This window comes from Homo sapiens, chromosome 17 (assembly GCF_000001405.40).
Source record: "Homo sapiens chromosome 17, GRCh38.p14 Primary Assembly".
Classification (NCBI taxonomy): Eukaryota; Metazoa; Chordata; class Mammalia; order Primates; family Hominidae; genus Homo; species Homo sapiens.
This window is the reverse complement of record NC_000017.11, coordinates 37,884,744-37,909,872: the sequence shown is the minus strand read 5'-3', so window position 1 is coordinate 37,909,872 and position 25,129 is coordinate 37,884,744. Positions and strand designations below refer to the sequence as shown.

The 25,129-nt window shown below is 41.5% G+C and overlaps 1 pseudogene; it reads right to left on the bottom strand.

Moving 5' to 3' along the window:
- On the bottom strand, positions 1,810 to 1,916 carry RNU6-489P (RNA, U6 small nuclear 489, pseudogene; annotated as a pseudogene).

Sequence of the window (25,129 nt, the reverse complement as noted above, 5' to 3'; positions counted from 1 at the left end):
CGGGGTTTCTTTATGTTGATTAGGCTGGTCTCAAACTCCCGACCTCAGGTGATCCGTCCGCCTCGGCCTCCCAAAGTGCTGGGATTACAGGCATGAGCCACCAAGCCTGGCAACACTGTTTTGATTACTGTAGCTTTGTAGTAAGTTTTGAAATCACGAAGTGTGATGTCTTCAAATTTATTCTTTTTCAAGATTGTTTTGACTATTTGAGGTCCCTTGAGATTCTACATGAGTTTTAGAATGTATTTTTTTTTAATTTCTGCAAAAAACATTCTTGGGATTTTGACAGGGATTTTATTGAATGTGTAGATTGCTTTGGAGTAGTAACATCTTAGCAACATTAAGGTGTTGCAATCCAAGAACATGAAATGTCTTTCCATTTATATATGTTGTCTTCAGTTTACTTCAGTAAAGTTTTATGATTTTTCTGTGTACAAGTCCTGCATTTTCTTCATTGCTGACTTATATATACTTGTTTTTTTTTTTTTTTTTTTCTGAGATGGAGTTTCACTCTTGCTGCCCAGGCTGGAGTGCAATGGCGCGATCTTGGCTCACGGCAACCTCCGCCTCCTGGATTGGAGCAATTCTCCTGCCTCAGCTTCCTGAGTAGCTGGGATTACAGGCATGCACCACCACGCCCGACTAATTTTGTATTTTTAGTAGAGACGGGGTTTGTCCATGTTGGCCAGGCTGGTCTTGAACTCCCGACCTCAGGTTCCTGGTGCTTCCTATTGCACCATCTTCCCAGAATCCTCTCCCTTCCTGTTGTGCTTTTATAGCCACACCTGCTTTCCTCCTGCCGCCAGACTTAGTCGTAACTGCTAATGTATTCCTCATTTTGGTAATTTTGTTATCTCAAGGATGTTATATAAATGGGATGATAGAACTTGTAATTTTCTGAAGGCCAGGTGCCTGGCTCACGCCTGTAATCCCAGCACCTTGGGAGGCTGAGGTGGGTGGGTTACTTGAGGTCAGGAGTTGGAAACCAGCCTGGCCAACATGGTGAAACCCTGTCTCTACTGAAAATACAAAAATTACAGGGATTAACCTGTAATCCCAGCTGCTTGGGAGGCTGAGACATGAGAATTGCTTGAACCCAGGAGGTGGAGGTTGCAGTGAGCCGAGATTGCACCACTGCACTCCACCCTGGGTGACAGAATGAGATTCTGGTCTAAAAACAAAACAAAACAAAACAACATGTAATTTTCTGGGATTGAGTTTTTTACACTAAGTTTAATTCCTTGGAGATTCCTCCGGGTTGTTGCTTAGTGTTTGTTACGGTTATACTGCACTTTGTTTACTTATTTGCTGAAAGATAATCTCAGTTATTTCCACTTGTAGGTTATTATGAATAAAACTGTTAGAAACATCACACAGGTTTTCATGTGAACGTAAGTCTTCATTTAGTAATGTTGATAGGTGGGTAGTGATATCTCATTGTGTGTATTATTATTATTATTATTATTATTATTTTTGAGACAGGGTCTTGCTCTGTTACCTAGGCTTTGAAGGGCAGTGTCATGATCATGTCTCATTGCCACCTTAACCCTCTGAGTAGCTGGGACTATGGGTGTGTGCTACACTACACCCAGCCAATGTTTTTAGAAATATGTTTTTGAAGAGATAAGGTCTTGCTATGTTGCTCAGGCTGGTTTTGAACTTCTGAGCTCAAGTCATGCTCCAGACTGGTCTCCTAAAGTGCTGGGATTACAGACCACTACACACACCTCATTGTGTTTTTAATACGTATTTACTTAGTGGCTAATGATGTTGACCATCTTTTCGGGTGCTTATTTGGTATCTTTTTTTAAAAATATGGAACACTTTAAGAATTTGCATGTCATCACTGTGCAGGGAGCATGCTAATCTTCTCTGTATTGATTCAATTTTGGTATATGTGCTGCTGAGACAAGCAGTAGTACCTTTATATATCCCCTGTTCATCACTTTTGGCTATTTTCTTTTTTTGAGACGGAGTCTCCCTATCTCTACTCAAAAACAATACAAAAATTAGCCAGGCATGGTGGCACATGCCTGTAGTCCCAGCTACTTGGGAGGCTGAGGCAGGAGAATTGCTTGAACCCAGGAAGCGGAGGTTGCAGCGAGCTGAGATTGCACCACTGTACTCCAGCCTGAGCGACAGAGTGAGACTCTGTCAAAAAAAAAAAAAAAGTATTCCACTCTTGCTGGGTGGAATGTCCTGTAAATGTCCATGGATCCAGTTAGTTCATGGGGTTGAAGTAAATACTCTTGCTGTGATCATATGTATAGTTTTAACAGTTGTTACAGAGAAATACTGAAGTCTCTATAGTGGATTTGTGTATTTCTTCATTCTGTTCCATCAGGTTTTCTTTCACAGATTTCGTAGTCTGGTTTTTTGCTGCATACACATTTAGGAATGTTATGTCCTCTTGGTGGATTGACCCCTCTCTCAATAAATAATTTCCTTCTTAGTCTCTAGTACTTTTTCTTTGCTCTGAAGTATACTGTTTCTGATATTAATATAGTCATCCACTTTTCCTTAGTGAATGGTTGCATCATATACCTTTTGAATTTTTTTTTTTTTTTTGCTTTCAATGTGCTTAGATTGTTATATTCGAAGTAAATGTCTTGTACACAAAACAGTGTTAGGTTATGTTTTCTTTCTTTCTTTCTTTTTTTTTTTTTTCTTGAGATGGAATCTTGCACTGTCACCTGGGCTGGAGTGCAATGGCGTCATCTTGGTTCACTGCAACCACCACCTCCCGGGTTGAACCAATTCTCCTGCCTCAGCCTCCCGAGTAGCTGGGATTACAGGTGCCCGCCACCATGCCTGGTTAATTTTTTATATTTTTAGTAGAAACCGGGTTTCACTATGTTGACCAAGCTGGTCTCGAACACTTGACCTCTTGATCTGCCTTCCTTGGCCTCCCAAAGTGCTGGGATTACAGGTGTGAGTCACTGTGCCTGGCCTTTTTTTTTTTTTTTTTTTTGAGACACGGTCTTGCTCTGTCACCCAGGCTGGACTGCAGTGGCACAATCATGGTTTACTGCAGCCTGGACCTCCTGGGCTCAAACAATTCCCCCACCTCAGCCTCCCAAGTAACTGGGACCACACATGTGCACCATCACACCCGGCTAATTTTTTTATTATTTGTAGGGACGAGGTCTTGTTATGTTGCCCAGCCTGGTCTCGAACTCATGGGCTCAAGAGACCCTTCTGTCATGGCCTCCCAAAGTGCTGGCATTACAGGCGTGAGCCACCATGCTTGGCTGTAGGTTATGTTTTTTAAATCTAGTTTGTCAATCTTTGTCTTTTTCTTTTTTTTTTTTTTTTTGAGACGGAGTTCATCACTCTGTCACCCAGGGTGGAGTGCAGTGGTATGATCTCGGCTCACTGCAACCTCTGCCTAGTGGGTTCAAACAATTCTCCTGCCTCAGCCTCCAGAGTAGCTATTACAGGTGCCCACCACCATGACTGCCTAAATTTTTTTTTTTGTATTTTTAGTAGAGACAGGGTTTCACCATGTTGGCCAGGATGGTCTCGAACACCGAACCTCAAGTGATCTGCTCTCCTCAGCCTCCCAAAGTGCTTGGATTATGGTTGTGAGCCATTGCACCTGGCCAGTTTTTGTCTTTTATTTGCTGTTTTTAGGTATTTGGGCCATTTACATACTTACAGATGTTGTCAGAATCCTTTTTTTTTTTTTTTTTTTTTTTTTTTGAGACAAAGTTTTACTCTTGCCCAGGCTGGAGTGCAGTGGCTCAATCTTGGCCTACTGCAACCTCTGCCTCCCGGGTTCAAGCAGTTCTTGTGCCTCAGTCTCCCAAGTAGCTGGGATTACAGGCATGTGCTACCACGCCCAGCTAATTTTTATATTTTTAGTGGAGTTGGGGTTTCACCATGTTGGCCAGGCTGGTCTTGAACTCCCGGCCTTAGGTGATTCACCCACCTTGGCCTCCCAAAGTGCTAGAATAACAGGTCTGAGCCACCACGCCTCGTTTTAGTTTTAGTTTTTTGATTGTTCTTTTTCCTGCTTTCTTTTGAGTTACTTGAACATTTTTGGAATCCCATTTTTCTTGTCGTATTTTTTTTCTACCCCAATTCACTACGCCAAAACCATTTTTCTTTATTGTATTTTATATCTGCTTATTTTAGTTCATTGATATGGTTTGGATATTTGTTCCGCTGAATTTTTTTTTCTTCTTTTTTGAGACAAACTTTCGTTCTTGTTGCCCAGGCTGAAGTGCAATGGCGTGATCTCAGCTCACTGCAACCTCCGCCTCCCAGGTTCAAGTGATTCTCCTGCCTCAGCCTCCTAAGTAGCTGGGATTACAGGCATGTGCCACCATGCCCGGCTAAGTTTGTATTTTTAGTAGAGACGGAGTTTGTCCATGTTGGTCAGGCTGTTGTTCTCCAACTCCAGACCTGAGGTGATCCACCCACCTCGGCCTCCCAAAGTGATGAGATTACAGGCGTGAGCCACCATGCCCGGCCTAAAAATTGTTTTTGGGAGGCCAAGGTGGGTTAGTCACCTGGGGTCCGGGGTTCAAAACCAGCCTGGCCAACGTGGCGAAAACCCGTCTCTACTAAAAATACAAAAATTAGCCAGGAGCGATGGCGGCACCTGTAATCCCAGCTGCTCAGGAGGCTGAGGCAGGAGAATCACTTGAACTTGGGAGGCAGAGCTTGCCGTGAGCTGAGATCATGCCAGTGCACTCCAGCTTGGGCAACAGAGCGAGACTCCGTCTCAAGAAACAAACAAACAAAAAGCAACAACAAACAAACAAAAAATTTTTTCAGTTAATTCTGATGTATCTGTGAGATATTAGAATTAAGATATCTTGATGTTTGCATTTGTTTATTGCCTTTTTCCATTCAATTTGAAATCTTCTGGATTCTTCATATCTTTTTGGTATCACAAATAACTTTTGATTGAAACCTGGGCATTTTTGTGTTGTCATGAGACTATGCATCTTACTTAAACAACTGTTTTAGTTTTTTTGTTTGTTTTTTTTTTTTTGGAGACCATCTTTATCACCCAGTCTGGAGTGCAGTGGCGCCATCTCTGCTCACTGCAACCTCCGCCTCCCAAGTTCAAGCGATTTTCGTGCCTCAGCTTCCGGAGTAGCTGGGACTATAGGCACCGGCCAACACGCCCAGCTAATTTTTATTTTTAGTAGAGGCGGGGTTTTGCCATGTTGGCCAGGCTGGTCTCCAACTCCTGACTTCTGGTGATCCACCCGCCTCGGCCTTCCAAAGTGCTGCGATTATAGGCGTGAGCCATCGCGCCGGGCCCTGTTGGGGATTCTTTTTTTTTGGTCTGTGTTCATCGGTGTCCTGATGTACTCACTTCTTCCATTCCAGGAGTAGGATACATTAGGCAAAAAGAAGAATACCCAGGGAATTTACTGCTATATTGTGCCTTGTGTCCTGTGATCCTGAGCTAATTTGCCTTCTCTCCACCTTTCAGAGAATATTCGTTTTATTTACAATGTTCACATTTTAAATTTGTACTTAGTGGGAGGAATAGGGAAAAGTATGTCCATTCCATCGTCCCAGAAGTGTAAGTCTAACCTTTGATTTCACTGAGTGTGCCCTATTTTTCTGTTTTCTATTTCATTGACTTCTGCTCGATCTTTCTTTTGCTCTTCTAGTTTCTTAAGGAACAAGGTGAAGTCACTGATTTGTTTCTTTTCTAATATAGTCATGTAATTGTATAAATTTCTCTTTCAATCACTGCTTTAACTGTCTTAAAATACTTGATATATTTGTCCTTTTTTTACCCCTTGGTGTTATGGGTTATGTTATGTTATGTTATGTTATTTATTTTATATTTTGAGACAGATTCTCGCTCTGTCGCCCAGGCTGGAGTGCAGCAGCGTGATCTTGGCTTGCTGCAACTTCCGCCTCCCGGGTTCAAGCAATTCTCTGCCTCAGCCTCCTGAGTAGCTGCGGTTACAGGCGCCGGCTACCATGCCCGGGTAATTTTTGTATTTTTAGAAGAGACGGGGTTTCACCATCTTGGCCAGACCGGTCTTGAACTCCTGACCTTGTGATCCACCTGCCTCGACCTCCCAAAGTGCTGGAATTAGAGGCGTGAGCCACAGCTCCTGGCCCCCATTGGTTATTTTAAAAGTATGTTTTGATTTCAAATATGGGGATTGCCTATTGATTTTTTTTTCTGTCACTGATTTCTAAATATCATAGTGGTAAGAAAAAAATCATGATAAGACTTCAAACCTTTTAAATGTACCAAGAGTTGTTTTTTTTGGCCCGAATATGGTATATCTTGGTGAATGTTCCAAATGCACTTGAACAGAATGTGTATTCTGGTAGGTTGTGTAGAGTGTTCTAAAGTTAGTTAGGTCAGTTTGGTGTTATTCAAGCTTCTGTATCCTTACTGATTTTCTGTCTGCTGGTCTGGAATCTCTCTCTGTCGCCCAGGCTGGAGTGCAGTGGCATGATCTCGGCTCACTGCAACCTCCATCTCCTGGGTTGAAGCGATTCTCCTATCTAAGCTTCCCGAGTAGCTAGGATTACTGTTGTGTGCCACCACGCCCGGCTAATTTTTGAATTTTTAGTAGAGACAGGGTTTCACCATGTTGGCTGGGCTGGACTTGAATTGCTGACCTTAGGTGATCCGCCTGCCTCTGGCTCCCAAAGTGCTGGGATTACAGGTGTGAGCCACCACGCCTGGCCCACCCAGTTAATTTTTAAAACTCTTTTTGTAGAGACAGGGTCTCCCTGTGTTGCTCAGGTTGGTCTTGAACTCCTGTGATCAAGCAATCCTGTCTCGGCCTTCCAAAGTTCAGGGATAACAAGTGTCATTCACCATGCCTGGCCTGGTTCTATTACACAGAGAGGTTTGCTGAAATTTTAAAATATAATTGTGGATTCTTTCATTTCTTCTTACAGTTCTCTCATTTTTGCTTTATTTATTTTGAAGCCCTGTTATTAATAGGTAAATAAATGTTTAGGATTTTTGTGTGTTCTTGATGAATTAAACCCTTAATGTATATAAAATGATGCTCTTTTTTCCTGATAAAATTTTTATTTTTGTCCACTTTACATGATAGTATTATAACGATTTCAACTTTCTTTTGATTTTGTAGTGTGTAATAAGATCTTTTTCTTGGCTGCACTGGAATTTTAATTTCTGATTGTAGTCATTTTGGTCATGGTTTACCCTGTTTTTTGGAGATGGGCTTTTACTCTGTCACCTGGGCTGGAGTGCAGTGGCATAGTCATGGCTCACTATGGCCTTGACCTCCTTCTGCCTTAGCCTTCCTGAGTAGCTGGAAGGACCACAGGTGTGTGCCACTACCCGTGGCTAATTCTTTTTTTTTTTTTTTGAGACGGAGTTTTGCTCTTGTTGCCCAGGCTGGAGTCAATGGCACGATCTTGGCTCACCCCAATCTCCACCTCCCGGGTTCAAGCAATTCTCCTGCCTCAGTCTCCCGAGTAGCTGTGATTACAGGCATGAGTCACCATGCCCAGCTAATTTTGTATTGTTGGTAGAGATGGGGTTTTTCCATGTTGGTCAGGCTGGTCTCGAACTCCCGACCTCAGGTGACCTGCCCACCTCGGCCTCCCAAAGTGCTGGGATTACAGGCGTGAGCCACCATGCCAGGCCATTTTTCATGTGTGTGGTGTGTGTGTGTGTGTGGGGGGGGGGGGGTATGTATGTTTTTAGAGATGGGTTCTGCAGCGTTGCCCACACTGGTCTCGAACTCCTGGCCTGAAGCGATTTTCCCACTTTGGCTGCCCAAAGTGCTGGGATTACAGGCATGAGCCACTGCGCTCAGCCACTTTTCTTCATGTTTCTAGCGAATGATAATTCATTAAAAGAGTGCCTTGTTATATATGCTTATAATTTCCCTCAAATATGTGAAAAGTTGTTGGCCATGATTTCTAAAAATTTTTTTTCAATATTATCTCCTGTTTTGTGGCTCTAGTTACAAATATGTTTGGCCTCTTGAAGTTATTTCAATTATCACGTATTACATTTTTTAGTGTTTTTTTCTGTGTTTCATTTAGGTTAGTAATTTTGATTTCATGTGTTGCAAATTTCAAGGTGTATTTTTCATCTTAGACTTTGTAATTTTCATCTTTAGAAGTTCAAATTTTAAAAATAATTCATATTTTTACTTAATATGTTGTTTCTTCTAGCCTTCTCATCATATGAAATATCATCATAATTGTTTTAAAGGACTTGTCTACCAATTCTATTTTCTGTTTCATTTCAAAATTGGTTTGTTTTTTGTTTCATTATGGGGTATAATTTCCTGCTTCTATGTAAGTCTTATAAATTTGGATTGACTTTTGAGCCAGTGTGAATTTTACCTTGTTTTCTAGTTTCTCTAGTTTTGTTTGCCTTTTAAAAATATTTGTGGACTTTGTTCTGTGGCATTATTAAGTTGCTTGAAAACAGTTTCTTTCTGTTGGGTCTTTTATGTTTTCCTTGATTGGACCAGGGTTGTGTTTAGGGTTAAATTTTTCCTCCTTCTGAAGCCTTTTCTTTCTTAGTATTCCAATGTCACATCTCCAATGTGATATAAATTATATCACGTCATTTCCTTTTGGACTTTTGGGTGTGGGTACTATACACCTCCTTAAGTCAGTCCTGGATGCTATTACGTCTAATTGTTTTGGTGATTTCTCACCTTGCCCTTGGACAGCTCCTTTACATTGCAAGTGCTGATTTGTCATTCAACCAAAAGTTCTAGGGTGAGCCCTTGTAGATCTCTTCATTTCTCTCTCTCTCTCCAGCTCTCTACTCAGTGCTGGTCTCCCTTGTGAGCTCTAGGCACCTTGGCCTCCTTGGACTTCCAGCTCCATTTCCTCAACTTGGGGAGACGACAGGCTCTGCCTGGGTTCCTCCTCCCTGTTCCACGACCTGGAAAACTCTCTCAAGGCAGTAAGCTGGGCACACGTGTGGCCCGTTTGTTTTTTGTCTTCCAGGGATCACTGTCTTTTGTTACTTGTCCAATATCTTCAGTGCTGTTGTTTCATTCATTTTATTAGGTTTTTATTATTTCACGCAAGGAGGCTAAATCTGGTCCCCTTTATTCACTCCATCTTGACCAGAAGTGGTATCACTGTGGTTTGAATTTACATTTTCATGATAACTGGTGATATTGAGCACGTTTTAGCTTGTGTGTTGGCCATTTGTGTGTTCTCTTTTGTGATGAGTTTGTTCATTTTGCCTTTACTGTTCTTTGTTTTCGTTTTTCATCTATTTGAGTTGCAGAAGGTGTTTATATGTCCTAAATACTCATCCTTTGTTAGACAAATGTTTTGTAAATACTTTCCCCAAGTCTATGTGGTTTACCCATTTATTTATTTATTTATTTATTTATTTATTTATTTTTGAGGCGGAGTCTCGCTCTGTCACCCAGGCTGGAGTGCAGTGGCGCGATCTCGGCTCACTGCAAGCTCCACCTCCCGGGTTCACGCCATTCTCCTGCCTCAGCCTCCCGAGTAGCTGGGACTACAGGCGCCCGCCACTACGCCCGGCTAACTTTTTGTGTTTTTAGTAGAGACGGGGTTTCACCGTGGTCTCGACCTCCTGACCTCGTGATCCGTCCGCCTCGGCCTCCCAAAGTGCTGGGATTATAGGCGTGAGCCACCGCGCCCGGCCTATTTATTTTAACTGTACCTTTTGATGAGCAGAAATATTTATATCTGCTAGGTTTAATTTATCAGTGTTTTCTTTTGTAGTTATTGCTTACTGTGAGCTAAGACACTTTTGCCTAACCTCAAAGTCTTGAAGGTAATTTCCTTTGTTTCCTGTAAAAGGGCTTGCTTTTGCTAATTTATATTTAGGTCTGTGATGCGTCTGAAGTTATTTTTGTAGGTCTGAGTTTTTTGCATGTGGCTATCCAGTTGTTTGTCACCATTTGTTGAAAAGAGTCTCCTTTTCTCACCGGGTTGCTTTGGGAACATCGCGTGGCTGCCTAAGTGGGATCTCTTTCAGAAATCTTTATTCTGCTTCAAAAATCTGTTTGTCTAGCCCTGTTAGAGTATTCGGATTATTTGGTAACTTTATATTGTCTTGAAGTCAGAATTGCAAGTCCTAAAACCTTTTTCTTCTTTTTCGAAGTTCTGCATACTCTACGTCCTTCACATTTCCGTATAAATTTTAATCATCTCTTTTCTGTCTTCTCCAAAAAAGGCTGATGGGATCATGATTGTAATTGTCTTGAATCTGTTGATCAGTTTGAGGAGAACTGACATCTTAACAACCACTGAGTCTTAGTCATTAGTATAGTATATCTCTCCATTTATTTAGGTCTTTTTTGTTTTGTCTGAGCAGTCGTTTGTTGCTTTTAGCCTTTGGTCTCGCATGTCTTCTGTTTTTAAAATTACTTATTTTTTTTCCTTTTTGTTGAGACAGAGTCTCACTCTGTCGCCTAGCTGGAGTGCAGTGGCCCAGTCTTGGCTCACTCCATCTCCTGGGTTCAAACAATTCTCCTGCCTCAGCCTCCCAAGCAGCTGGGATTACTGGCATGTACCCTAAGCCCAACTAATTTTTATATTTTTAGTAGAGATGGGGTTTCACCCCGTTGGCCAGGCTGGTCAACTCCTGATCTCAAATGATCTGCCTGCTTCGGCCTCCCAAACTGCTGGGATTACAGGCATGAGCCACCACGCCTGGCCTAAAATTATTTTTATTTTTAAGTATTTTGTCTTTTTTTGATGCTATTTGTATTTTAAAATATTAAATACTTTTTCAGCAATTATGAAGTATTATAAAAATTTCTAATTTTTTGTTGGAAATAGAATTTTTGTATATTGACCCGTTTCTTACAACCTTAAGTCATATTAATTCTACGAGTTTTTTTAGGTACATTTCTTAGATTTTTCTAATAGATGATTGTCATAAAACACAGTTTTATCTCTTTTTTTCCCTAGTTGTAATGCCTTTTATTCTCTTCCCTCACAGAATTGACTTAATCTTGTTTTCATTCTTTGAATACAGCATTCAGTGTTACACCACTAATTATAAGTCAGCTGTAGGGGTTTTATTGATGAACTTTATCAGATTGTTTTCAAATATAGGTTTTATTACTGTTTAGATATGACAAGGACAACAGAACCCAACATAACTGCCATTGAAAAGATAGTTATAGTCACAGACCCTAAGAGGAATAATCATGCCATGCCATGGAGAATACACAGTTGAGTAAGGTCTAGCCCTAGCTTCCTGAGGGTTTATGTCCTGAATGGATATTGAGTTTTCTCAGAAGCTTTTTCTGTATCTATTGAGATAATGCTATATATTTAAATATATTAATGTAAATTTCATTGTTTTATTTTCAAATGTTATACTAAATGCCATTTGGTGTCATGGTGTATTATTATTATTATTATTTTTTTGGAGATGGGTACAGTGGCACAATCTCTGCTCACTATAACCTCCGCCTCCTGGGTTCAAGTGATTCTCCTGCCTCAGCCTCCGGAGTAGCTGGGATTACAGGCATGTGCCACCATGAGCAGCTAATTTTTTTCGTGGAGACAAGGTTTCACCATGTTGGCCAGGCAGGTCTCCTGACCTCAAGTGATCCTCCCGCCTTGGCCTCCAAAAGTGCCAGGATTACTTTCGTAATCTGTGTGAGCCATCGCAACTGGCCTATTCCTCTTAATATATTGTTGGATTTAAATTGCTAATAGTAAATATTTGCGCATCTTTGTATGTGAGGGATTTTGGTGTAACCTTGCTGCTTTTTGTCAGGTGCTGGTATTTTTGGCATATGCATTGGTATTCTTCATGCTCAACTTAGAAAATGATTTGGGAAGCATTGTCTTCTCTGTTTTCTGGAAATGTTTGTGTGAGATTGATGCTATTTTTTCTTTAGTGTTTGAAGGAACTTATCAGTGAAAAAATCTGAGTCTAGAGTTTTCTTTTTGGAAAGGATTTTGATAATTCAACTTAAAATGCTTCTCAGATATTCTGTTTTATCAGTTTTGATAAGTTTTGTTTTCAAAGAATTTCTTCTTTTCATCTCAGCTGTTGAATTAGTTAGCATGAAGTCATTAATAATAATCTTTGGCCCTCAATACCTTTGGGATCGTAGAGCTAATTCCCCTTTTATTCTTGGTAATTTGTATTCTTCCTATTTAAAAATAAATTAATTTCGCTTGCAGACTGTCAACTTTGTAGGTCTTTCCAACGTGTTACCAGAAGGGGTCCCAATCCAGACCCCAAGGAGAGGTTCTTGGATGTCATGCAAGAAAGAATTTGGGGCGGATTCATCAAGTGAAAGCAAGTTTATTAAGAAAGTAAAAGAATAAAAGAATGGCTAGTCCATAGGCAGAGCAGTGCCATGGGCCACTGGTTTCCCATTTTTATGAGTATTTCTTGATTGTATGCTAAACAAGGGGTGGATTCTTCATGAATTTTCTGGGAAAGGGGTGGGCTATTCCCAGAACTAGTGGTTCCTCCCCTTTTTAGACTATATAGGGTAACTTGCTGGCATTGCTATGGCATTTGTAAACTCATGGCGCTTGTGGGAGTGTCTCTTAGCATGTTAATGTATTATAATTAGTGTATAATGAGCAGTGAGGATGACCAGAGGTCAGTTTTATCACCATCTTGGCTTTGGTGGGTTTTGGCTCCCTTCTTTATTACAACCTGTTTTATCAGCAAGGTTTTTCTGTCTTGTATCTTGTGCCAGCCTCCTACCTCATTCTGTGACTTAGAATGCATGACTTACTGGGAATGCAGCCCAGCAGGACTCAGCCTTATTTGACCCAGCACCTGTTCAAGATAGAAGCACTCTGGTTCAGAGGTCTCTGACAAAAGGACCAGCTTTGACTTCAAATTTTCTGTTACTTTTCTGTTTCATTTCTTCTGCTCTTATTTTTACTATTTCTTTTTTTTTTCTACTTACTTTGGGTTTACTTTACCCTTTTATATATAGGTTCTTTAGGTAGAACCCTACATATTTTATTTTATTTTATTTTATTATTTTATTTTATTTTATTTTATTTTATTTCATTTCATTTCATTTCATTTCATTTCATTTCATTATTTCATTTCATTTCATTTCATTTCATTTCATTTTATTTTATGACAGAGTTTTGCGCTGCCACCCAGGCTAAAGTGCAGTAATGCAATCTTGGCTTACTGCAACCTCCGCATCCCAGGTTCAAGCGATTCTCCTGCCTCAGCTCAGCCTCCTGAGTAGCTCGGATTGCAGCCATCCGCTACCACGCCCAGCTAATTTTTGTATTTTTAATAGAGAAGGGGTTTCACCATGTTAGCCAGGCTGGTCTTGAGCTCGCGACCTCAGGTGATCCGCCTGCCTTGGCCTTCCAAAATGCTGGGATTACAGCCGTGAGCCACCGCACCCGGCTGCTAGGTCATTCATTTCATATCTTTTTTTCTAATGTGGTTAGGGAACATAATCTGTATGATTCCCATTATTTTCATTCTATTGTGTCCAGCTTTGTGGCTCAGTATGTGGTCTTTCATGGGGAATGCACCAAGTTTACCTGAAAAGAATGTTTATAGTGGTTTTAACATTGCTAGATGATGATGATGACTATTATTATTTGGTCTGGTTTTGTCAATCACAAAGAGGGATGCTAAAATATCTTACCATGTTTGGGGCACTGAGTATTCTGACTGTTTATGCCTTATGCCAAATTTTCCTTCATGTATTTTGAAGCCTTGTTTTTAGGTGCATACATTTATAATTATTATGACTTCTTCATTGTCTGACTTACTGTGAAATGTCCCTCCCTCTCTTTACTATGTAGCCACTCACCATCTTTTTGTTGTTGTTGTTTGTTTGTTTGTTTGTTTTGAGATGGAGTTTTAATCTATCACCCAGGCTGGAGTGCAGTGGTGTGATCTCGGCTCACTGCAGCATTTGCCTCCCAGGTTCAAGCAGTTCGCCTGTTTCAGCCATCCTAGTAGCTGGGATTATAGGTGTGTGGCACCATGCCTGGCTAATTTTTGCATTTTTAGTAGAGACAGGGCTTTGCCATGTTGGCCAGGCTGATCTCAAACCCCTGGCCTCAAGTGATCAAGTGCCCGCCTCGGCCTCCCAAAGTGCTAGGATTACAGGCATGAGCCACCGCGCACCCAGCCTATCCATTTACTTTGGACCTGTTTGTGTCTTCCCTTAAAGTGTGTTTCTTACAGACACCTTGTGATTGAGTTTTACTTTTCTATGTGTGCTAATACACTATTTTTTTTTGAGAGTCTCTACGTCACTACAATCAATTTTAGAACACTTGGATCCCCTCAAAAAGAAGCCCTTTGGCCCATTAACAGTCACTCTCCATTACCCTACTTGCCCAGCTCCTGGCAATCACTAATCTTCATTCTGTCTCCATCCCTATTTGTCACATTTCATATAAATGGAATCATTTGGTGTATTGTGAGTGGCTTCTTTCTCCTAGCATCATGTACAAGCATTTGTTTTGTAGCATTTATTAGAACTTCATTCCTTTTTGTTGTCAAATAATATTCTATTGCATGGCTATACTACATTTTCTTTACTCATTCATTAATTGATAAACATTTAGGTTGTATATACTTTTGCAATATTATGAATAATGTTATTATTATGAACATTTGTCTGCAAATCCAGACATTTGTTTTCAATTCTCTTGGGCCTAGGATTTTTGTTTCATGCTGCAACTCTGTTTAACCTTTTGAAAAACTGACAAAGAGGCTGTAACATTTTAAATTACCAGCAACAATATATGAAGGTTTTAATTTCTCCATCTCTTTGCCAACATTTTTTATTGTTTGGCTTTTGATTTTAGCTATCCTACAGGGCATGAGGTAGTATCTCATTGTGGTGTTGATTTTTACTTATCTTTTTTCATTATATTCTTTTGTAGACAGAGTCTCACTCTGTTGTTCAGGCTGGAGTGCAGTGGTGTGATATCTTGGCTCACTGCAACCTCTGCCTCCCGGGTTCAAGCGCTTCTCCTGCCTCAGCCTCCTGAGTACCTGGGATTACAGGTGCCCGCCACCACGCCTGGCCAATTTTTGTATTTTTAGCAGAGACGGAGTTTCACCATGATGGCCAGGCTAGTCTCAAACTCCTGACCTCAGGTGATCCCCCTGCCTAGGCCTCCCAAAGTGCTGGGATTACAGGTGTGAGCCACCGTGCCCGGCCCCTTTGTTCAATTTTTAACTGGGCTGTATAGCTTTTTATTTCTGAGTGGAAGAGCTCTGTATTCTGGATACAAACTACTTATCAGACATATGACTTGTAAATATTTCTTCCATCCTTTTACTTTCCTGATGATTTTGTTTGTAGCAAAAAAGTCTGTAGGTTTGGTAAATTCTAGTTATTTTTTCTTTTGTTGCCTCTACTTTTATCTAGTGTTATGTCTAAAAACTGTTGTTCAACCAAGTCCTAAAGACTTACCTCCTATGTTTTTTTCTAAAGTTTTATTGTTTTAGCTCTTACATTTAGGTCTGCGATTCACTTTTGAATTAATTTTTTAATATCAGGAAGGGTTTCAACTTAATTCTTTGGCACATTTCTCTAGCAATTTAAATATATTTCTTTACTCTTTTCAGTCTGTTTTTATAGTATTACCACTTCTGACTAATATTGTACAAGTTGTAAAGTATACAAAGCTTGTAAGTTGTTCTTTTATATCACCTCTGTTTGTTGTCAGTTATGCTATTGTCATGTGTGTTGGAACTATGTACATTATAAGCCCCAGAAAACAACAATGTAATTTTGGCTTTCAATAATCATGTAATGTTAAGAACTTAAGAGCTAAAAGTCATCTAAGTTTACCTAGATATTTACCATTTGTGGTAGTCTTCTTTGTCTTCTGAAGATTTGCATTTTCTAGCATCATTTCTCTTAATCCTGAAGAATTTCTTTAGCCTTTCTTGCAGGGCGTATCTTTTGGTGATAAATTGTGCTTGCTTTCTTTTACCTGAAAGTATCTATTTCACCTCTATTTTTGAAGGGCATTGTGGTTGGATATAGAATTCTGTGTTGACAGTGCCTTATCTTTTAGCAAGGGGTATTTTAGTTTATTTTCTTTTGGCTTCCATATTTTATGATGAGAAATCTGCCGTTTATCCAGTCATGGTTCCCTCTGTGTAATGTGACATTTTCTTTTGGTGCTTCAAGAGTTTTCCCTCTGTGTTTGCTTTTTAGCAAGGCATTTGACTATTCGAGGTTTGCTGAGATTCCTGAATCTGTGGATTTGTCTTTTTTCAAATTGAAGAAAATTTCAGCCATCATTTCTTCAAAAGTTCCTTTCCTGCCTCATATTCTTTCTGTCTTCTTTTTTAGGCCTTTGGTTATGTATGTAAGACCTTTTGGTACTGTGCTGTAGGTCCCTGAAGCCCTGTTTTTTGTTTGTTTGTTTAACCTCTATTTTCTCTTTCAGATTAGATTCTTTTTTTTTTTTTTTTTTTTTTTGAGACAGAGTTTCACTCTTCTTGCCCAGGCTGAAGTGCAATGGTGGGATCTCAGCTCACCCCAACCTCTACCTCCTGGTTCAAGCGATTCTCCTGCCTCAGCCTGCTGAGTAGCTGGGACTACAGGTGTGTGCCACCACACCTGGCTAATTTTGTATTTTTTAGTAGAGATGGGATTTCTCCATGTTGGTCAGGCTGGTCTCAAACTCCTGACCTCAGGTGATCCACCCATCTCGGCCTCCCAAAGTGCTGGGATTACAGGTGTGAGCCACCGCGCCTGGCCTCACATTAGATTCTATCTATCGATGTAGCTTCAAGTTCACTGACTCTTCTGTCATCTCAGATTTGTTGTTGTGAAGCTTGCCGAGTGAAATTTTCACTTCACATGTTGTATTTTTAGTATTTAAAAAATTCTATCTTTTTTTTTTTTTAATTTGAGACCGAGTCTTGCTCTTTTGCCCAGGCTGGAGTGCAGTGGTGCGATTATATTACTGCAGCCTCAAACTCCCAGGCACAAGTGATTCTCCTGCCTCACCCTTCTGAGTATTTGGGACTGCAGATTGGTGCTACCATGCTTGGCTTATGGTTTCTTTTTTTTTTTTTTTTTTTTTTTGTTGTTGTTGTTGCTGAGACACCCTGTTTTATTATAGGTTTATCTTTGGTGGGCAGACTTGATTAGCATTTAGCGACATTTTTCTATAAAATTTCACATTATAGACCAGGCGCGGTGTCTCACGCCTGTAATCCCAGCACTTTGGGAGGCTGAGGCGGGCAGATCACGAGGTCAGGAGTTCGAGACTAGCCTGACTAACACAGTGAAACCCCATCTCTACTAAAACTGCAAAAATCAGTCGGGCGCGGTGGTGTGCACCTGTAACCCCAGCTACTCAGGAGGCTGAGGCAGGAGAGTCGCTTGAACCCGGGAAGTGTATGTTGCAGTGAGCCGAGATTGAGCCACTGCACTCCAGCCTAGGTGACAGAGTGAGACTCCATCTCAAAACAAAACAAAACAAAAAAACACTTCACATTATAAAGGAAATGGTATAGTTTGCAATAGAGGAAAGAAATCACTCATAATCTTACCATCCTTACCACAGTCCTATTAATATATTTTGTGGTTTTTTTTTTTTTTTTTTTTGAGACGGAGTCTTGCAGTGTGGCCTGGGCTGGAATGCAATGGCGCCATCTTGGCTCACTGAAACCTCCGCCTCCTGGCTTCACGCGATTATCCTGCCTCAGCCTCCCCAGTAGCTGGGATTACAGGCGCACACCAAGCCTGGCTTATTTTTTTTTGTATTTTTAGTAGAGATGGGGTTTCACTATGTTGGTGAGGCTGGTCTCGAATTCCCGACCTCATGATCTGCCTGCCTTGGCTTCCCAAAGTGCTAGAATTACAAGCGTGAGCCACTGTGCCCAGCGTATTTTGTGTATTTTCTTTTAATGTTCAGTGAATTTTTATTTTATTATTATTTTTTTTTTGAGACGGAGTCTCCCGCTGTCACCCAGGCTGGAGTGCAGTGGTGCGATCTCGGCTCACTGCAACCTCCGCCTCCCGGGTTCACGCCATCCTCCTGCCTCAGCCTCCCGAGTAGCTGGGACTACAGGCTTGTGCCACCACATCCGGCTACTTTTTTGTATTTTTAGTAGAGATGGGGTTTCACCATGTTGGTCAGGATGGTCTCGATCTCCTGACCTTGTGATCTGCCTGCCTTGGCCTCCCAAAGTGCTGGGATTACAGGCGTGAGCCACTACTCCCGGCCAGATCTTTTTTTTTTTTTTTTTTTTTTGAGATGAGATCTTACTCTGTCACCCAGGCTGGAGTTCTGTGGTGTGACCTCAGCTCACTGTAGCCTCGACCCCCTGGGCTGAAGTGATCCTCCGACCTCAGCCTCCCTAATAGCTGGACTATAGTCTCACGCCACCATGTCCAGCTAATTTTTTGTATTTTTAAGTAGAGATGGGTTTCACCATGTTGCCTAGGCTGGTCTTGAACACCTAACCTCAAGTGATCCACCTGCCTCGGCCTCCCAAAGTGCTGGGATTACAAGTGAGAGCCACTGCAGCCGGCCAGACTTTTATAAAAGTTGTATGGTTATAAATGGTTATATAAAATATCTTTGTGCATACATTTTCATGTCTTGAAGATAAAGTATATAAATGATATAAAAGACAGAAAGGTAATTTATACATGCTATATCTTATATTATTTGCTTTGGCTCTCTAAAAGTGAAGCAATTAAATCAGATTTTTTTTCTTGATTCTTATTGCTTAACTGCTGTCCAAAAGAATAGGATTATGGTGTCATCGAAATTATATAAAAATGAATTTTGAGTTTTTTTTTTTTTTGACAGAGTCTCTCTCTGTCGCCCAGACTGGAGTGCAGTGGCGTGATCTCGGCTCACTGCAACCTCCGCCTCCCGGATTCAAGTGATTCTCGTGGCTCAGCCTCCTGAGTAGCTAGGATTACAGGTGCCTGCCACCACTCCTGGCTAAATTTTTTTTTTTTGAGACGGAGTCTTGCTCTGTCGTCAGGCTAGAGTGCAGTGTTGGGATCTCAGCTCACTGCAACCTCCACCTCCCAAGTTCAAGTGATTCTTCTGCCTCAGCCTCCCGAGTAGCTGGGACTACAGCCATGTGCCACCACACCCAGCTAATTTTTGTATTTTTTTTTAGAGATGGGGTTTCACCATGTTGGCCAGGATGGTCTCGATCTCTTGACCTTGTGATCCATCTGCCTTGGCTTCCCAAAGTGCTGGGATTACAGGTATGAGCCACAGTGCCAGGCCTAATTTTTGTATTTTTAGTAGTGACAGGGTTTCGCCACGTTCGCCAGGCTGGTTTTGAACTTCTGACCTCATGTCATCCGCCTGACTTGGCCTCCCAGAGTGCTGGAATTACAGGCATGAGCCATCACGCCTGGCCTATTTTTTAAAATTAAGACCTTTTTTTTTTTTTTTTTTTTTGAGACGGAGTCTCGCTCTGTCGCCCAGGCCGGACTGCGGACTGCAGTGGCGCAATCTCGGCTCACTGAAAGCTCCGCTTCCCGGGTTCACGCCATTCTCCTGCCTCAGCCTCCCGAGTAGCTGGGACTACAGGCGCCCGCCACTGCGCCCGGCTAATTTTTTGTATTTTTAGTAGAGACGGGGTTTCACCTTGTTAGCCAGGATGGTCTCGATCTCCTGACTTCATGATCCACCCGCCTCGGCCTCCCAAAGTGCTGGGATTACAGGCGTGAGCCACCGCGCCCGGCCAAAATTAAGACCTTTTTAAAATTTCTTTCTTTCTTTCTTTTTTTTTTGGTTATAACAGCAATGGGATGTTTGTGATTTTGTTCCTTTTATTCCTTCATCATGTAGTTTTTGAGTTATTGTGCCTAGATAATGTGCCTGATGTTAGGGGTAGCTACAGCCATGAAATGGAGCTTCTAATCTAGCAGAGGAGTTAACTTAATTACATAAATAGCTAATTGCAATTGTAATATATCCCAAGAAGGAAAGCATAGGTAAATCATCATATGGCACCTAACCTCATCTGGAGATTCAGAGACATTGTCTTTGATGAAGTGGCTTTAAGCAAGGACCTGCCGGATACATAGAAATTACCCAGCTGAAAAAGAGGGTACAGTGAATGACAATATTCCATTTAGAGTCAAACTAACCCGTTAAAAGCCTTTGAAGTGAGAATGAGCTCTGGCAAATTTATAGAATTGAAAGAAGAAAAAGCCAGTGTTGCCCATGAAGTGAAATGTTGGAAGGAGAGAAGGTGGTGGAGATAAGAAAAGGCTATATGATATAGGGAAACTATTGAAGTGTTTTTGTTTTGTTTTGTTTTGTTTTTTTGTTTTTGAGACGGAGTCTCGCTCTGTTGCCACGCTGGAGTGCAGTGGTGCGATCTCGACTCGCTGCAACTTCCACCCCCTGGGTTCAAGCGATTCTCCTGCCTCAGTCTCCCGAGTAGCTGGGACTATGGGTGCGCACCACCACACCCAGATGATTTTTGCATTTTTAGTAGAGATGTGGTTTCACCATGTTGGCCAGGATGGTCTTGATCTCTTGACCTCATGATCCGTCCCCCCTCAGCCTCCCAAAGTGCTGGGACTACAGGCTTGAGCCACTGCACCCGGCCTATTGAAGTGTTTTCAAGTGGGCAGTGGTATATTTGGATTGCATTTCTGAAGTTCGTTGTGTTGTGAAAAGTTCATTCTGCAGATTGGTGATAGTTGGTTGAGAGTGAATATTTGGAGACTACAGCCATTTTCCATTATCTGCGGTTTTTCTTCCCTTGGTTTTAGTTACCCATGGTCAACCCCTCTGAAAATAGGTGAGTACAGTGAGGTAGAATCATGTGTTGTGTAATGCAGGAGGGAGGTATGTTCTTAGAAATACCTCATTAGGTGATTTCGTCATTGCACAATCATCTTAGAATGTTCTTAAACAAAGCTATATTGTATAGCCTACTACATACCTAGGCTACATGGTATAGCCTATTGCTCCTAGGCTGCAAACTTGTACATTTCATTACTGAATCCTGTAAGCAACTTAACATAATGGTAAGTATTTGTATTTTTAAACATAGAAAAGGTACACCTAAAATAATGATATGAAAGATAAAAAAAAATTGCACTTGTATAGGGCTTTACCATGAATGAAGCTTGCAGGACTAGAAGTTGTTCTGGGTGAGTCAGTTAGTAAGTGGTGAGTGAATGTGAAAGCCTGGGACATTATTGTACATTACTGATAGCGTTTGGCTGTGTATCCCCACCCAAATCTCATCTCGAATTATAATCCCTATGTGTTGAAGGAGGGAGGTGACTGGATAATGGGGGCAGTTTCCCCCATCCTGTTCTTGTGATAGTGAGTGAATTCTCTGGAGATCTGATGGTTTTGAAAGTGGTGGTTTTTTTCCTATGTACACATTCTCTTTCTCTTGCTTGCTGCCATGTAAGACGTACTTGCTTCCCTTCTCACTGTGACTGACAGTTTCTTGAGGCCTTCTCAGCCATGTGGAACATGAGTCAATTAAACCTCTTTTCTTTATAAATTGCCCAGTCTCAGGTAGTTTTATAGCAGTGAGAGAATGGACTGCTACAACTACCATAGACTTTATAAACATTGTGCACTTAATGTACACTAAATTTATTTTAAAATTTGCTCTGTCATGTTACTATGGCTATTACATCATTATGTCACTAGGCAATAGGAATTTTTCAGTTCCATTTAATCTCATGGGGCCACCATCGTATATGTGGTTGTTTTTATGCAGACTGTATTTTGAGAGAGACCACATTCACATAACTTTTTTATAGTAGATTGTTATAATTTTTTTTAAATTTTTGAAATTGTTTTTGAGTTGGAGCCTCTCTCTGTCACCCAGGCTGGAGGGCAGTGGCACGATCTTGGCTCACTGCAACCTCCCGGGTTGAGTTGCTTTTTGTGCCTTAGCCTCCTGCTTAGCTGGGACTGCGGGTGTGCGCCACCACATTCGCTAATTTTTTTGTATTTTTAGTAGAGATGGGGTTTCACCATGTTGGCCAGGCTAGTCTCAAACTCCTGACCTCAGGTGATCTGCCCAACTCAGCCTCCTAAAGTCCTGGGATTATAGGCTTGAGCCACTACATCTGGCCTGTTGTATTTTATTATTATTGTTAATCTGTTACTGTGCCTAATTTATAAATTCAACTTTTTTATAGGTATGTATGTATAGCAAAAAACAGAATCAAGTGCTCAGTACCATTTGTCATTTCAGACGTCCACTGGGGTTCTTAGAATGTTTCTCCCATGGATAACTGGGGTCTACTGCATTTAAGAGGTGACTGAAGTGGTCCCGATGAAAGGCGATGCTGGCTTTAAGTAGGGTGATAGTGGAGATGGAGAGAGATAGGCAGCTCTCACTAGTATTTCAGAAGAGGAAGGGCACAATACAGTTATGGATTAAAAGTGAGGTTAGGGAGTAAGGTATGAAGTGGTCAAAGATTATATATACTTGGTGTCTCGCATGAGCAATGTGTCATTGAAAATATCATTACCAATATATGGAAAGAGCAGGAAGAGCAGGTTTTGTCATAAATTGTGGAGCGTTTCAAGTGTCTATGTAGGCTGGGTGGTGCGGTGGCTCACGCCTGTAATCCTAGCACTTTAGGAGGCTGAGGTGGGTAGATCACTTGAGGCCAGGAGTTTGAGACCAACCTGGGCAACATGACGTAACCCCATCTCTACTGAAAATAGAAAAAGTTAGATGGAAGTGGTGGCACACACCTGTAATCCCAGCTCCTTGGGAGGCTGAGGCAGGAGAATTGCTTGAACCCTGGTGTTGGAGGTTGCAGTGAGCTGAGATCAAGCCACTGCACTCCAGCCTGGGCAACAGACTCCATCTCAAAATAAAATAAAATAAAGTGTTTATGTAGCATATAGAGTTTATACCTGACCCTGAGGACAGACACAAATAGATAAAATTTGGGAGTCACTGTTATATTTTTATAATTTAGTTGGTAATGGAAATTTGGACAGTGAATAAGATTACCTAGTGTTTCACGTGAAATAAGATGACATCTTGGTCGGGCGCGGTGACTCATGCCTGTAATCCCAGCACTTTGGGAGCCCGAGGCGGGCGGATCACAAGGTCAGGAAATCGAGACCATCCTGGCTAACACAGTGAAACCCCGTCTCTACTAAAAACACAACAAATTAGCTGGGCATGGTGGTGGGTGCCTGTAGGCCCAGCTACTCAGAGGCTGAGGCAGGAGAATGTCCTGAACCCAGGAGGTGGAGCTTGCAGTGAGCCGAGATCACGCCACTGCACTCAAACCTGGGCGACAGAATAAGACTCTGTCTCAAAAAAAAAAAAAAAGAGAGATGACATCTTAGGCCAGAACCCTGAGGAACTTCACCATTTAAAGGTTTGATAGGGTGATCAGAAAGGTGCCACCAAAGAGGGAAAATCAGGAGAGTGAAATACTGAAAGGCAAGAAATACAGCAGTATTAGTCTGTTTTGTGTTGCTATAAAGGAATACCTGAAACTGGGTAGATTATTAATATAAAGAAAAGAGGTTTATTTGGTTCACAGTTCTGTAGGCAGTACAAGCATACTACCACCATCTTTGGGCTGAGGAAGCTTTTACTTATGGGGGAGTGGGCATAGGGACCAGGAGTGTCACATGGTGAGGGGAGGGAGCTAGATGGCAGGCTCTTTTTACCAATCAGATCTCACGTGAACTAACAACAGCAAGAAACTCACTCATTACCACAAGGAAAACACCAAGACATTCATGAGGGTTCTGCCCCCATTACCCAAACACCTTTTGCTGGGCTCCACCTTCAACATCGGGATTATATTTTTACATGAGATTTGGAGGCACAAATATCCAAACTTTATCAATAGCCTCTGTAATTTTTTTTTTTTTTTTTTGAGACACAGTTTCGCTCTTGTTGCCCAGGCTGGAGTGCAGTGGCGTGATCTCGACTCACTGCAACCTCTGCCTTCCGGTTTCAAGTGATTCTCCTGCCTCAGCCTCCCAAGTAGCTGGGACTACAGGCACGTGCCACCATGCCCAGCTAATTTTTTGTATTTTTAATAGAGATGGGGTTTCACCATGTTGGCCAGGGTGGTCTCGATCTCTTGACCTCGTGATCCGCCCACCTCGGCTTCCCAAAGTGCTGGGATTACAGGCGTGAGCCACCGCACCTGGCAAATAGGCTCTATTTTTTTTTTAAATTATTTTTGTAGAGATGAGGTCTCACTTTGTTGCTTAGGCTGGTCTCGAACTCCTCACCTCAAGTGGTCCTTCCATTTTGGCCTCCCAAAGTGCTGCGATTATATGTGTGAGGCACTGCACCCAGCCTCAGTAGGCTTTTATGGCTTATGCCTTCTGTACTTTTAAAACTATTTCAACTTAATTTTCTACTCTAATTTTTGTTGTAATTTATATATGTATGTAAGTGTATATATATTTATATGTAGGGTGTGTATATATGGTGTGTGTATATATAGTGTGTGTATATATAAAATGTGTGTGTGTATATATACATATATAATCAACACACACACACACATATATGTATACACACACATTTTTTTGTTTGTTTGTTTTTGTTTTTTCGAGGTAGGGTCCACTCTGTCACCCAGGCTGGAATGCAGTGGTGCAATCATGGCTCACTGCAGCCTTGACCTTCTGGGCTCAATTGATCAGCCCGCCTCAGCCTGCCGAGTAGCTGGGACTACAGGTGCACCACCACCACACCCAACTATTTTTTTTTTTTTTTTTTTTTTTGTAGAGGTGGAATTTTGCCATGTTGCCCGGGCTGCCCTGGAACCCCTGGGCTCAAGCGATCTGCCTACCTCAGCCTCCCAAAGTGCTGGGATTACAGGTGTGATCCACTGTGCCCGGCCTATATTACGATACTGTATGCTGGAAAACTTCTTTTGGAAACAAAGTGGGATATAAATAATACTCAAGTGCGACTTTCAGGAACATATTCTTCATAGTAAGACAATGCCATTGAAACTTACTGTGTTTCATAAGAAGTAGTAGTACTGGCTCTACATTTATTTCTGCTTTTAAATTCTGAGGATGGGAGGGAGAGGAATCCACAATAAATTTTGAGTACCACTGTGTTTGAATAATAATAGCTGATTAGCCTAATTCCTTTCAGAAGGGAAATCAGCATGCATGAGATCATTTCTTGCCACTTAAATTCAAATTCTAAATTCTTGAGTTTGGCTCTTTAAGAGAAACC